At 34.9% G+C, this 15451-nt stretch overlaps 1 protein-coding gene across 14 annotated transcripts in view; it reads left to right on the top strand.

Annotated features, from left to right (window-relative positions):
• The window catches only part of SLC9C1 (solute carrier family 9 member C1), a 153319-nt gene that overhangs the window by 17965 nt on the left and 119903 nt on the right, over window positions 1-15451 (top strand). For 10 of the 14 annotated variants that reach the window (XM_017006247.2, XM_017006248.2, XM_011512719.2 and 7 more), the window contains 5 exons: window positions 1227-1355; window positions 6175-6336; window positions 9912-10014; window positions 11909-12052; window positions 13154-13328. In XM_017006247.2, the coding sequence (XP_016861736.1) occupies window positions 1227-1355; window positions 6175-6336; window positions 9912-10014; window positions 11909-12052; window positions 13154-13328 (713 nt within the window). Of the gene's footprint in view, window positions 1-1226; window positions 1356-6174; window positions 6337-9911; window positions 10015-11908; window positions 12053-13153; window positions 13329-15451 lie in introns of those variants that run through there. The other 4 variants (XM_011512718.2, NM_001320531.2, NR_135297.2 and 1 more) reach the window with 4 other exon arrangements.

Raw genomic sequence — 15451 nt, 5'->3', positions numbered from 1 at the left:
TTACATTTTTCCATACTTCCATTTTCTAAAATGGGATAATTATACAATAATATCAGTTAGGTTTTGCTGAGTAATAAACAACTCCAAATGTGGTGGCTTAAACAACAATTATTTATTATTTCTCATGAATCCAGCAGTTCTGATGATATGGGCTGGGTTCTACTGATCTTGCTAGGTTCACTAAGGAATCTGTAATCAGCTGGTGGACACTGAGGGGGCTAAGTGATCCAGGATGGCCTCATTTGGGAAGATCTACGTTTCCTTCTTGTATCTCTTATATTCCTACAGAGGAATGCTGCCATGGCGGTGGCAGGAGTCAGGGAGGAGGCAGAAATTTTCTGCTCTCATCGAGTCTCATAAAAAAACAAACTAGATCTTTTTGGTGAGAAACACTGCCAAGTCTTACAGCGAAGGGCATAGATACAGGCAGATGTGAAGTATGGAATGGCCAAGGCAATTGAGCCACACAGGAACAGCCTTGGTGTTTCTTCTCTTCTATCAGCATACTGATTGTAGTTAGGTTGTGATTGCAGTTATAGAGTGGTTGATTCACAGAAAGGACTTTCACTGCATAATAACATTTCCTCCTATGGCTTTTAGAAAATCACTATAGATGGTCAAAGTTGTAGTCTTACCACTACATGCACATTTAATGGCAGAGGAAAAGGACAACAGACATTTAAACTTAGAATGCCATCATAAATAGAGGAAAATTTGGATGGAAGTGAGTAGTATCAGGAACTCTCCATTCATGGAGATTGATTTCTAAAACCATTGGGAAGAATGAATGAGAAAGTCAGATAATTTCTAAGCCTAGCTAGATTATGTGAATAACTGCCTTAATACTTTATTTGGATGTCATGTTATAAAGCTTTGGTTTGTAAATTTACTTTATTCCTCAATCATCATTTTCTGTCTTGCCTTAAATATATCTGATTTATCATGCATGTATTTATATAGAACAACTCACTGAATTAAAAATAATAATAAATTTCATGTTTTCCTCTGTGCTTTGAAGCAAGGAATGAGAACTTTGATTATCTCACTTACATAAACATAATGGGCCATAATTAATTTAGTGCCAATTATGATTGTCTAAACTTAACTTACAGTAAATCCATAGCTAAGACCATCCTTATAGTTGCTAAGAAAATTGTATTCTTTAACATTTAATTTTTAATGTTTTTCTCACTTTAAAAAACATCTTTCCCCCTCAACATATGTAGGGCTTTCTAGAAGCCTCATCAGTTTAATTAATGGAGAAAGTCTGATGACCTCTGTTATATCATTAATTACATTTACTAGTATTATGGATTTTGACCAAAGACTACAAAGTAAAAGAAACCATACCTTAGGTAAGTATATTTTTAAAAAATTTTTCTCAACATCAGAATCCTGTATTTTCTGAAAGCTGATGTGTATTTTGTAATATCCTACCATAAGTTATATTTGTAGGAATATAATAGTGAGTATTGGTTTAGTGACTTACTCTTTACAAAGCACTATTACACATTACTTAATGTTAGTTACATATTTGTTGTGAGACTGGGTTGAGACTCTTCATGAAGATGCTTATGGGAGCAACATTTCACAGGCCTGGGCTGAACCAGAATGCCAGACCACCAGAATGAGGGATATTCTTTTTTATGTGCTGAAGATGAGCTTAGAAGATAAGCCAAATAGTGCATCCACTAGTAGTGAGAGGAGGCGGCTTCTCTTCCCTTTGCCCTGGAACTATATCTCATGCAGGCAACATAAAAAGGTGTCAAATAAGGGAGGAAGTATGAGTTATTAGCCATCTACAGGGCCAGAGAATAGTGCTTGTAAGCAGAGGGATTGCAAAGTGCCCATGAGCTGTTTCATTTACCGCTTTCAGATAGCCCTAAACCATAAGTACTTTTTTTCCCCTTTATCATGTTTATGTGTGTATATAAAATAAATGATATATGTATATTATAATAGTGATTGTAATGTATACAGCTATATAACTATTAATCAGGAGAAGAAATTTCATGTTACCACCATCCCTAGAAGCATCTTATGTGCTCCTCTCTGGTCAAAACCCTGTATCTTCCTCCTAGAAAAGTCATTTTCAATGTTTAGTCTCTGAATCCCTGGCTAGTGGAGGAAGGGGGTTCATAGGATCCTTTCAGGATGTCTATGAAATCAAAGCATTTTCATAATATTACTGAGAATTTATTTACCTTTTTATTGTGGTGCACTTGCGCTGGTTTTGGAAAAGCAATTATTACAGTCTCCTTGATAAACTGACGACCTACTATTCTATGCACTGGGTGTCTTCTTTGTTCTAAGGTCTTATGTAGCATTGTCTCATTCCACCACTGCCCCCATTCCTGTGGAAAAGGTGTGCTTAGGAGGTGCCTCCACAACATATTCTAATCCATTGATCTGTATGGTATCAAACAATCCACTCTGCTGCAGTGGGATTCTTCTACTCCCCGCCTCCCCTCAGCAATGAAGAATATCTTAAATTCCTCTCCTACTACTCAAGAAGAGGAGATTTTAGCTGTAATTGTTTTCCCTGTCCCTAGAGAGTGCTTCATTGTTGTGCAACCAGGGACCCTGTATACCTCTATTCTTTCCTATTCCTGCCTTATCCTAAAACTCCGAAGTGAAGAATATTCTTTCCCAAGAAGAATCATCCTGAGGACCACCACCCCCTCACCCCTCCCTCAAAGGAGCTGATCCAGGTTGTGGACAGTTACCCCACTTGGGCATAGGAGGTATTTGCTTTCAGCCTTTGAGGCTTATGGACAACAGATGGGTGAAGCTCTCTGTATGGTGTTAGTTTACCTAGCCCATGGAAGCTTGGAGCATCTGTGGTGAACCTGGAATCTCAGTTTAGCACAGAAAGGTACATCATCTTTAGGTACTTCCAATTCACCATCTGTGATGTGTGTGAAAGCCAAATAACCATAAACACAACCTCTACTAAAACCCAGGGTGCAAAGGGAGGTGACACAATATGGCACTCAGAGAGCGCTCACCATAAAACCTCCTATAGCTATGACCTTCCTGAAGTTGACTAAGGTGAGCAACAAAGAAATTTCTATATTCAGAAGCTTTTTAAAAACTCAAGGGCCACCCTTGGGGGAACTAAAAAACCTGAAAGAAGTACAATTGTGCATGCCATTCAGGAGGATCCGTGTTCACCTACTAAACCTGGTTCAGTGTTCTACCAGGCTTTATTTAAGATATTATATACTGACCACGGATTTTCAGGGAAACTTATATCAGAAATGACATCTGCAGGCTAATCAGGGGAACTTTTTTGGTACTCGTTGGGAGAAGGGAAAGGAAAAGGAAGAATAAAGGTTCTGATGTGGAAGTTCATTCATTTACTGATTCAACAATTATTTATTAATATGTACTATGTGAGAATTTCTATTCTAGGACCTGAGCATTTAACCATAAGCACAATAAGCAAAATCCCCTTGCCTCCATAGAGCTTGCCTTGTAATTTTGATAATAATGAATAGAATGGAACTTTATTTTTTTGTATTTCAGAGGAATAAAAACTGTAAGTAATCACTATTAAAATAATAATAGTAATGACTTCAACAGTAAAAACTCTGCTGTAGGAGAAAGAGAACGATGAATTTACTTTTTTAGACATTAGGACTTTCTCTGAACTTCAACACCTTTGAAATACAAATTTTCCTTAAGAAATAAAGATAATAAGCTTTACTGCTATTTCATTTGACAATTGTGAATCAATACTTTTCAGAGTAACCATTGTTTTTATAACTTCTGTAATTATTTAAACAGTGTTACTAATCTGTGAAGTTAGCACATATTTTATAATAGGGAAAAATTAAGAAAGATTATTTCACTCAGAGTTCTTACTCTTTCCAATTTGAGTGCTAGAAATTTTAAAACAGTATAAGCAGTAATGGCTTTGCTTTGAGACTTTTCCTGGCTTAACAAATCTAGTCAGCAAACATGTTACTTATTAAAATGTATTTTCCTTTCTTAAAGGAAAAAGCAACTTTCAAACTGGGGTCTTCGAACTCCAGATTCCTGTATGTTTCTGCAACTAGAGTTAGCCTCCATCCTATATTTCAGTGACAGGAGATGCTGGACTCAAAATTATTGCCATGACCAGCTCTGTGCCTAGAGCTCATGTGGCCTAGAGGCATGTGTAGTTCCAGCAAAGAGCCTCTGATGGCCTTGGGCTCCCTGTTTTCCTGGGAAGGGCATCATGACATTGCTCTGTGGAAAGCAATTAGGCAAAATATAAAAGTAACAACACCAAAGAAGCAAATATCTTTTGGTGCATGAATTTTACTTTTGGAACCTAAAAGTACAGAGAAGCACAAAAAAAATGTATGTACAGAAATATACATTGCAACATTGTTTATCAGGGTGAAAAGCTAAAACATATGAAATGCTCAAAAATAAGGAAGCGATCAGTCACTTTGGCAGGCCAACATAATGCAGGAGATTCACCCAACTGAGGCCTAGAGACACTCCTCTTTCTGTATTTCCTGTGTGTATTACATTAGATCTAGAGTATCACTTCCATGAGTTTAGGGACTTCCTACTTGTTCCTTCATATATCTCTAAAATCTATTACATGTTTGACACATTAAAGGCACTGAATAAATTCCTTAATGGAGACCGAAAGGAGCTCTTAAACTAAACTGACCAAATTTTACAAACTTAAGCGTGGCTTTTAGCAGTTGAAAATAAACTCTTTCAACACAGAAACAAGAAAATATTGTCCATCTACCCCAAAGACAATGAGCTATTTTTATTAATATTAGTTTTAATGGACAAATCATAATGTATACATTTATGGGGTACAATGTGAGGCTTTGATATATATATATATATACAATGTAGAATGATTAAATCAAACTAATTAACGTCACCTCATTTAACTATAATTTTTTATGATGAGAGATTTGAAATTTACTCTCTTAGTTATTTTGAAATACCAATACATTATCATTGACTACAGTCACTTTGCTGTGGAATAGATCTGAAAACTTATTACTGCTTTCTCTTGGAAACTTTGCACCTGTTAATCAACAATTCCCTATTCTCTTCCTCCCTACATCCCCAGCCTCTGGTAATAATTATTCTACTCTCTATTTCTGTAAGTTCAACTTTTTTAGTTTCTACATATAAGTAAGATCATGCGGTATTTTCCTTTCTGTGCCTATCTTATTTCACTTAGCATAATGTCCTCTAGGTTCATCCATCTTGTTGTAAATAACAAGACTTCCTTCTTTTTTGAGGACAAATACTATTTCATTGTATATGTTTACCATATTTTCTTTATTCATTCACTGATGGACACTGAGGTTGACTCCATATATTGGACATAAATAACCCGATTAAAAAATAGGCTAAGAACAGACAGACATTAAAAGAAGACATACAAATGGTCAACTGGTACCCTTTTTTTTTGAGACAGAGTCTTGCTCTCTTGCCCAGGCTGGAGTGCAGTGGTGTGATCTCGGCTCACTACAACCTCTGCCTCCCAGATTCAAGCTATTCTCATGCCTCAGCCTCCCAGGTAGCCGGGATTACAGGCATGTGCCACCACACCCAGCTAATTTTTGTATTTTTAATAGAGATGGGATTTCGCCATGTTGGCCAGGCTGGTCTCAAACTCCTGGCCTCAAGTGATCTGCCCACCTCGGCCTCCCGAGGGATTGTAAGTGCTGGGATTATAGGCATGAGCTACAGCACTCAGCAGTCAACAGGTACATTAAAAAATGTTCAGCATCACTAAACATTAGGGAAATGCAAATGAAAACCACAATGAGATATCACTTCACATCTGTTAGAATGGCTTTTATCAAAAAGATAAAAGAGAAGTGTTAGTAAGATTGCAGAGAAAAGGAAACTCTTGTACACTGTTGGTGGGAATGTAAATTAGTAAAGCTATTATGGAAAACTGTGTGGAAGTTCCTCAAAAAACTAAAAGTAGAACTCTACCATATGGTCCAGTAATCCTACTTCTGGGTATATATCCAAAGGAATTGAAATCAATATGTCCCAGGGATATCTGCACTCTCATGTTCATTGTGGCAGTTAGCTAATTTTAAAGATAATGACAAAAAGGAAAATTAACAAGGAATATCAATTAAAATTAACGGCAAGTTCTATTAACTATTTCTTATTTACGCCCCTTTCTTGTAGCTGAAGAGATCGTGGGTGGAATTTGTTCATATATTATAGCAAGTTTCTTGTTTGGAATTCTAAGTTCAAAACTGATTCAATTTTGGATGTCAACTGTTTTTGGTGATGATGTCAATCATATAAGTCTCATCTTTTCAATTCTGTATCTCATCTTTTATATTTGTAAGTGAGGGGCCTATGCCTAAAATAAAATCACATAGAAAACTTCAAAATAAAAATATATGAAAAATGCATACCAGGCAAAAGTTAGTAAAAACATTCAACTGATCTAGACAGAATATTTTTATTAAAATAATCTATCAAAAGATATTAAACATATGAATATCTATACAACAGAAACAATGTACCAATATTAGCAAACACTATTATAAAAGAAAGAAAAATTTGACAAAACTATCATTACAGAAAGATAAATTATTATGCCTTTCCCAGAGAATTTCATGACTAATTGAACAAAAAATGATTATGGTTATAAAAATATTTAAATATCTTATAAGGTTGGTTTATAAGATATATAGAGTTTTACCTCCCAAAACAGAATGCATATCCTTTACATATACCTGTAGACAATTCGCAGAAATTAACTCGAAGAACATTTCAATAAAATTTCAAACATTGTTCAAACATGATGCAATTAAATTAAATATGGACTACAAAAAGAGGGTTCCTACCAGGCGTGGTGGCTTATGCCTATAATCCTAGCACCTTGGAGGGCTGAGGCAGGAGGATCAACTGAGCCCAGGATTTCGAGACCAGTCTGGGTAAGATAGTGAGATCCCATGTCTACAAGAATTTTTAAAACTAGCTAGATGTGGTGGCACATGCCTGTAGTCCCAGCTCCTCAGGAGCCTGAGGCGGGAGGATCACTTGAGCCCAGGAATTTGAGGCTGCAGTGAGCTATGATCGCACTCCAGCCCGGGCAACAAAGAGAGAAGCCGTCTCTCTAACAAAAAGGCGGAGCGGGGGCAGTTTCTACCTGTAAATTAGATATTTTGTCTTGGTAACTGTTAGATCAAAAAGGCAATCAAAATAGAAGTTACATATCAAGTAAAGCTAAATGTTAGAGTATCTATCAATGTTATTAATCCATGTCCCACAATCACCTCCTCACAAAAATATGGTAGCTATTGATAATTAGCCATACTGCTGTTTCCTGACACAGCCTCAGAATCACATTTAACTCAGCTCTTCAGACAGCCCTTCACATGATTTGGAATTGACATGCAAGATAACACCTAGTTACCTCACCTGTACTATGTCTCTGTTACATTTAGGAATAAGACAATGGTGTATATTCTCACATCCATGATTTAAAATAATTCTGAAGGCTCTAGCTAATACAATAAGGGGGAACATTTATACATATTTTAAAAGAAAAAATGGTTAGATTAATCACGACATTTTATATCATATAGAAAATTCAACAGAATTAATTGGTAAACAAAGTCAGCAAGACCCTTTAATGGCTTGATATAAGATAAAGTTATCCAAAACAATTGACGGTATTTTTATCAGCCAGCAATAACTAGCTAGAAAATATGAAAATTTGATTCTTTTTGTATTGGTAAAAAGTTATAAAATATCAATGAATAAACTTAACAAATAGTTTGGACCTAAACATAGAAAATTATAAAAGTTATTAAGAAATATAAAATTTGAATAAATTGAAGCATAGAAAAACTATTCTTCAGAAGTGCTAGAGTAATGGGAATTTATTATTTTTCCCTCTGAAGAGGAAAAGGCAGACCAGAGGATCTTGAGGCTTTCTAATGAATTAATCAGTGGATTAAATTCAATTATAATATACCGAGGGTTACAGAATCAAGCTAATGAATTAACAGACAGTGAGAGAATGATCAGTTAATTCAGGTGGGTTCCTCATGTGCTAGTATTCATGTGTATACTTAGATTCCTAAAAGAAAATCCAACAAATATAATTTCCTCTAACATTATTTTTAATAAGTAACCCTAGTTTCAAGATTAAAGGTTATACTTAAGGAAATAATTTTAAACTTTTAGAGTCGAGATGTCTCAATAAACATTTTAGGAAGAAACCTGCCAAGACAGAATTTCATTAAAACAAGATACAGAGTAAATATAAATTTAATGTAAAAAGACTTTCCCTGTGACCTGGCTTCATGTTTATATTATTAGTACCTTCAAGATAGTCATTATAAATATTTTCCTGACTTCACCATCACCTAACAAGTTATAATACCTAATCCAGGGCTTGATTGTTTCAAAGAACCTATGTCCATGATTTCTTCTTCTTTCATGATTCAACAATGACTCTGCCTTTGTTACCATTTTCAGCCAGGACTAAAATAAAAAATAGACAACTTGTAATTTTCCATCTTTAGAAGGGAAAACTCAATAATGTAATAATGGCATTAATTTCACTAAATTAAACTTTATTACAATCCAAATCAAACAATGATAGAAATTTTTTTGGTTTTAAAATTTCCTTCTCTCTCTCTCTCTTTTTTTTTTTTTTTTTTTTTTGAGACGGAGTCTTGCTCTGTCACCCAGGCTGGAGTGCAGTGGCCCAATCTCTGCTCACTGCAAACTCCACCTTTCGGGTTCTCGCCATTCTCCTGCCTCAGCCTCCCAAGTAACTGGGACTACAGGTGCCCGCCACGACGCCCGGCTAATTTTTTATATTTTTAGTAGAGATGGGGTTTCACCATGTTAGCCAGGAGGGTCTCAATCTCCTGACCTCATGATCCACCCGCCTTGGCCTCCCAAAGTGCTGGGATTACAGGCGTGAGCCACCACGCCCGGCCCTGTCTCTCTCTTAGAAACAGAGTCTTGCTCTGTTGCCCAGGCTCTGGAGTACAGTGGCATGATCATGGCTCACTGCAGCCTCAACCTCCTGGGTTTAAGCAATTCTCCCACCTCAGCCTCCTAAGTAGCTGGTACTACAGGCATGTGCCAGCAAGCCAAGCCAATTTTTAAAATTGTTTGTAGAGACAGGGTCACATTATGTTGCCTAGGCCAGCCCTGAACCCCCGGTCTCAAGCAGTCATCCGTCAGCCTCCCAAAGTGCTGGAATTATAGGTATGAGCCACCGTGCCTATCTAAAATTTCATGACAATTTCAAAAGTTCAGCTAGAGAAATTAATGTGTGAGAATAGACAAGACAATTTTTTTAAGTGGAGAACTTTCTTTACCAGATAATTAAATGTTTTAATAGGTCTACAGTAATTAAAATACAACTGTTATAACACAAGAATACAAAGTAAGTCAAAGAAACACAAAGGGCACAGAAATAGTCGAAGTATGAATGACAATTTAATATATGATAAAAGTAGCATATCCACAATATTCTTTAGTATTAAAAACAAATATTTCAATTTTTACTTATTAACTAGAACTATGTCTGCTAAGAAGTTGTGGGCAAGTTCACGAAATCATCAGCTGATTTTCATTTCAACCCTCCAGAACCCATCTGAAATAACCAGACCTCTAAAGTGTGCTCTAGCCTCAATGGGGTATGCGAAGCAGTGCAAAGATGCCCATAGTAGGCTTTATAATACAATTGGATATAAGTTGGAGGAAGAAAAAGGACATGGGGTGGTGGTAATAATTTGCAATATTTTTCAGCTGAAATCAAGTGAAGTTGCCTCTCTATAAAAGTCATGGTACTGTCACAACATCTGATACTTTTAACTCGGGTAAAATTTGTGCTGCTGTTGATGTTAAATTAATACTTTATATTTATTTCTTTTTAAAAATAGGTGAGTTAGTTGGAATGTCAGGAATATTTACTCTGGCCATTGTGGGACTTCTTTTAAATTCTACAAGTTTTAAAGCAGCAATTGAAGAAACACTTCTTCTTGAGTAAGTGGATAGCATATTTTGACTTTATTTCATACACTGGAAGCTATAATATTATAATAGTAACAATATCTACATCTACATGGTCGAAGTAAGATTTTCAAAGACTTGAAAACTACCCAACTAAAAACCTTTCCTAGATTTTATTTTTTCTTGCCTGTGTCTTTGAATCCTCCAATTTAAAGCAAATTCGTAACCTTACCTTGAGTTCATGTTGGTTCTCTTTCCCCACTCATTCCTCAAATCTCTGATTATCTCCTCAATAATTTCCCATATAAAATCTTGTACCCACTAGTAAGAGGGTGCCAAAAGTGCAGTAATTGAGAAGTAATATTTTAATATTTTAATGCAATATTTTAAAATTAAGTTTAATTAAGTTGAACTTAAGGCAAAAAAAATCTAAAGATGAGTATTTTAAGGACAATGAGGTGCTGTGTAAAGCAAATCAGAAGAGTAAGCTGGGGCATTTGAAGAGGATTAGCAGTGTTATAAAAGAAAGTATGACCACACTAAATGTAAGCAAGACTATGGGTGGAAAAGTGCAAATTGTGCCTTGCTCAAGGGAATTCAGCTAAGGGGTGAGTAGTTATCAGCCAAAAGGAAGAGCACTTTCCATAATGCTTCAATACATAGGGTGGAAACTTGACCTGAACCACATAATGAAAACATATGTGTTAACAAAGGCCCTGAAAGTAAACCATGGTTTTTAGAGTTTTGGGACAACGTTATAGAAGATAGAATTAATTCTGATATAAGAAGCTTAAAAGATATAGGGTCTTATAGGATTCTGGAGCACTTCAATAAAATTCCATGCCAATTACAATGGAAGTAAATTGTACTTGCACTTAGGCAAAATTAAATGGACCACAGCTGAGGGAAGAATTTAAAATGCTACACAAGTATTAGTTATATATATGGGGAATGATTCTGAAGGTTTTCCTCCCCTTCTTGCTCCAACTGTAAGCTGGATCTTCAAATATATTACTTATCTTTATTCTTCATTCCTTATAAGTTGTGATGTCTTTCTTGCCTGCGTTCCTAGTACTATTGAGCCTACAATTGAAGTAGGTGATCTCTCTGAACCTCGAAGTGATTTCTAAATCATTCTATCTCCTACTTCCTTAAAAGAATCCAATTTTGAAGCTCGTGCCATCAGAATATGCCATCTGCCTCTTGATTGTGATTATCTATAGAACTCTAAGTCACATTCTCCATTTTGTGAAGATTTTAGTTCCTGTCTCACTGTGACTCTCCAATATTACTCTATCACCATTCTTAGTGATGTCAATATTCATACAGTTAATCCTTCTACTCCCTCATCTTTCAATTCCTGGATCTTCTCTCCTTGTATAAGTATGTCCACCACTCCTCTTTAACCACCCACTCCCACAGTTGTACAAGTAACTACTTCATAAACTCAATTGCAAGAATCTTACTATCTAAAATATGGTATGTACCAACTTCTACTCTTGAAGACAGTGAAAATCTAAGACAATAGTGTTAAATCCTACTAACATCTCAAAACAACCTGTAACAGGTCCATGTTAACTCTTTAACATAGAAGGTGTACCATCTCCCATCTTTTCACTATATGCCCTCTAGTACCTAAATTCTCACGATTCTGCAACCATACTGAGACTAAAATTTATTGATTCTATGATCTTTTACTGACCTTCACCCATCTCATATTTTCAATTCCTCTTTATCCAGGTCATTTCTTTTGTGTAAAATAATTTAATAACTTTTCATCATTTTCAGCTACAAGTCAAAGTTGTTTGTAAATGTTTTATTCATTTTTTGGTAATCATTAGCACAATGATTCACATAGATAAACCTTGTAATAAAGATGTCAAATTAATTAATTATAAATATTTTTAATTTTTTCTGAATGATGCAGATTCTGGACTTTTCTATCACGTATTGCTTTTCTCATGGTGTTTACTTTCTTTGGACTTCTAATTCCTGCACATACATATTTGTATATAGAATTTGTTGATATATACTATTCATTAAATATCTACTTAACATTGATTGTTTTAAGGTAAGAACATCATTAAAATTTTTCTATTTATAGATAATTGAGTAAGTTTGAAGGTCATCTTTTAAATAACACAAAGATTTCGTACCTTAGATTGAAAAATTGACTCAAACTTTCCAAGGATCATCAGCAAATAAATGCTTTGTAATTTTTTTTTGGCTTTTAACTAAATTTCAAAGCAATGCAAACTCTATAAGTTTTTTTAATTAGAAAAAAACTCAACATTTGACATATTTTGTCCAATGTTTTTGTAATGACATTTCATGAAGTTAAGTACCTATTATAAATAAAAATCTTGTTTTTGCTCAATATTATATAACAAACAATTTTCTATTAATTAAAAACTATAGTTAGAAATTGCTTTTTAAATATCATAGGGAAGCCCTCTTTGTAAACATCTTTTTTTCTCAAATCATTTTTGTAGTTTCTTTTTCCACTGTTAAGAGGTAGAAAAAGTCTGTTTATGTAGCTGAAAAGGAGATAGCATAGAGTGAGAAAAACCACCATAACTAGAGTCTCATAGGTCTTTAATCTCCATTACTCAAATGATTAACATTCTACTTCCATCTAGTTGAATTGCTGAAGTCAAGGCATCTAGTGCCAAGTAAAATAAAATTATTTCCCAAATTATCAGATAAAATTAGTGTAAAACATAGGAATGATATATGACTGAAGGAAAAAAAAATCTGGCCAATATTGGACCAATTCAGCAAGATTAAAATCTATAAACAAAAAGAAACAGAGAACATTTTCTCACTTCTTATTCATTAAATTTGTTTTTATTTGGGGTGGGGATTCAGAATTTATGTACAACACATCTCGAACTTTTCTTTTTCCTCCTGAAGGAGCACCACTCAAGGATGATGTAAATTTACTATGCTACTCACCTAGTAGAAAGAAAGAAAGAATAATACCATTCTCTTGGCATGTCTCTCTATGGAATACCTGCTGCCTTTCTTTGGTGTCATGTCAACAGTGTGTGAAAGATGTCTCATTTGTTTGAGAGTTAGGAATTCTACAGGGAGTAGATTAGAATAGAGTAGCATGAAATGGAAAGAAACTCATATGAAAGAATAACTTTGTAAAAATTGTTTTGTCTTTTAGATTTCTGACCCTTCTTTTAATAAGCCCTGTTTTGTCTCGAGTTGGTCATGAGTTCAGTTGGCGCTGGATATTCATAATGGTCTGTAGTGAAATGAAGGGGATGCCTAATATAAACATGGCCCTTCTGCTTGCCTACTCTGATCTTTATTTTGGATCTGACAAAGAAAAATCTCAAGTAAAGAAAGCTGTATTTTCTTATCTGAATATTGTATAAAACTATTACTGTGTATTTAAAATATATGTTTTTTTGTAGTGAGGTAGCTCAACTTCACTTGGGATGTAGGAGTGATTTAGCTATGATGGCAAGATCGGGGAGAGGAGGAACAACTGGCAACTTTCCTTCTCCCCTGAAATAGGTTTATTACAAAGATCAAAGTAATTAAAACTTATCAATCATTTAAAATAGTACCTGGCATAAAAGGTGCACTCAATAATGTTTTAATTATTTATTGCACTCAAGAGAAGTGAAAACTTTCTTATGATTGGCCCTATTACCTTCTGTAACTTTCTGAGGCTCATTTAGTAATGCTATGAGCCAAAACATTTTAATTGTCAGGTAAAACACTCTAAACAGTACCCTCAAACTCTGCTTAGCAGAAAATACAGGGCATAACTCTCCTTCTACCATGTGTCTGGGCAAGATAATTACAAGGATCTCTGTAAGAAAATTTCTGTGCAGATATCACAGAGCATCTGATGCTTTTATCATCTGGGTTTTTTTTTTTAACAAAAATTCCAAATGTAAAAAGAGAAGTGGCAAGATAATCATTATGTATCTACTTAAATAATACTCAGTCCAAATATTTAAAAAACTAATCTTTAAACTGCCTTTAAAATCAAAATTATCTGATATTGCATGACCTCTCCCTTCTATCTATTTCTACAAGCCCAAATATTCAAGATCAGTGTCATCACCATACACCTGATCAGTGTGACGGCTAACCTTGTGCACAGATCTAGGTTCTGAAATTTTCAGCTTAGATGCTATTTGCTGCGTGGACATCAGCAAGTTTTTAATTTCCACCTCACCTCAAGTATCAGTTTCCTCACTCCAAAACAGACTTAATAGTATCAATGGTTTGCTGGTAAATATTTAACAAGTAACTTAAGTGTTGAGGTGAGAGGAAGTCCTAATTTGTAGTATTTGCCCATTTCTGTTGTGTAATCACTTCCACCAACAGAACATCAGTCAGCTCATAAACTTCCTGAAATTGAACGATTAGCTCTCATGAGCTAGTAAGAGCCAGCCTAGCACACTACTTTCACAAAGCATTATTATGAGAAACAAAAAATGTACATAAAACACTTGGCACATTGTTTAGCATATAGCAATTGTACAATAAATACAAGCTCTGATGATGAAATTATAAGTGATGATATACTTTGCCGTAGTGTTTTAAAATAAAATTTTAGTAAGTAAAATCATTTAGTAAATATCCTCACTAGAAGTAACTCCTTGAGAAGAAAGTAGAACTCCTTTTCTCAATTTAATCTAGCTGAACCCTACAGTTAATACTTACCCAGAGGCATTATAGTAAAGGGTTAAAAATACTAACATCAAAGACATATTGCCTTTTTAATTCTGTCTCTACTACTCATAAGTTATGTTATATTGGGAAAGTCACAGTGCCCTAGATTCCCATCTGTGTAATTGTACAGTATTGGTAATTACCTCACAAAATTGCAGTGAAGATTAAATAAGCCTCGTATATTGTATTATTAGCCTGTTATATGTGTTAGCTCTTATTAATTTTAAACTATTTAACTAATTGAGTGGTCTTTTACCTAGAATGCAATGCACTTTAGATTGATTTAGGAACTTTTTGAAAAATATCAATGTCTGTGGAATTCTAGTCTTTACTATGATGAATAGTGGATATCAGACTTACTTTCCATAGTAAACAACTACAAAAATGTTTAAAATATATGAAGCAACTGATTTGGGGTATTGGATAAGGGACATTGCCTGGTTAGATCCTTCAGAGAAATGGAACACATAAGGAGAGTTCACATTCACTCTGATCTTTCTTCAAAAATGTTGCAGAGAGAAGTGAAGGCCAAACAGGATGCAGTAAACTTACTGGGCAGAAAATACCTATATGAGAGTTTAGGGCTACTTAAGTAGCTAGAATTTGGGGAGGCAGGGTATCATGGAGGGAAGAATTGTGTAGAAAAAGGAGCACCAGAAATTTAAATTTCCTTGGATCATTACTTCAATACTAATCAAAACAAGCAGAGATTTTGCAGGAGGAGCAGCAGAAAAGAGCTGCTTGGGAGCTTTTGGCTGAATGGATATTG

Source organism: Homo sapiens, chromosome 3, assembly GCF_000001405.40.
Source record: "Homo sapiens chromosome 3, GRCh38.p14 Primary Assembly".
Taxonomy (NCBI): Eukaryota; Metazoa; Chordata; class Mammalia; order Primates; family Hominidae; genus Homo; species Homo sapiens.
Note: the sequence above shows the minus strand (reverse complement) of the source record. Positions and strands in the feature narration are given on the sequence as shown.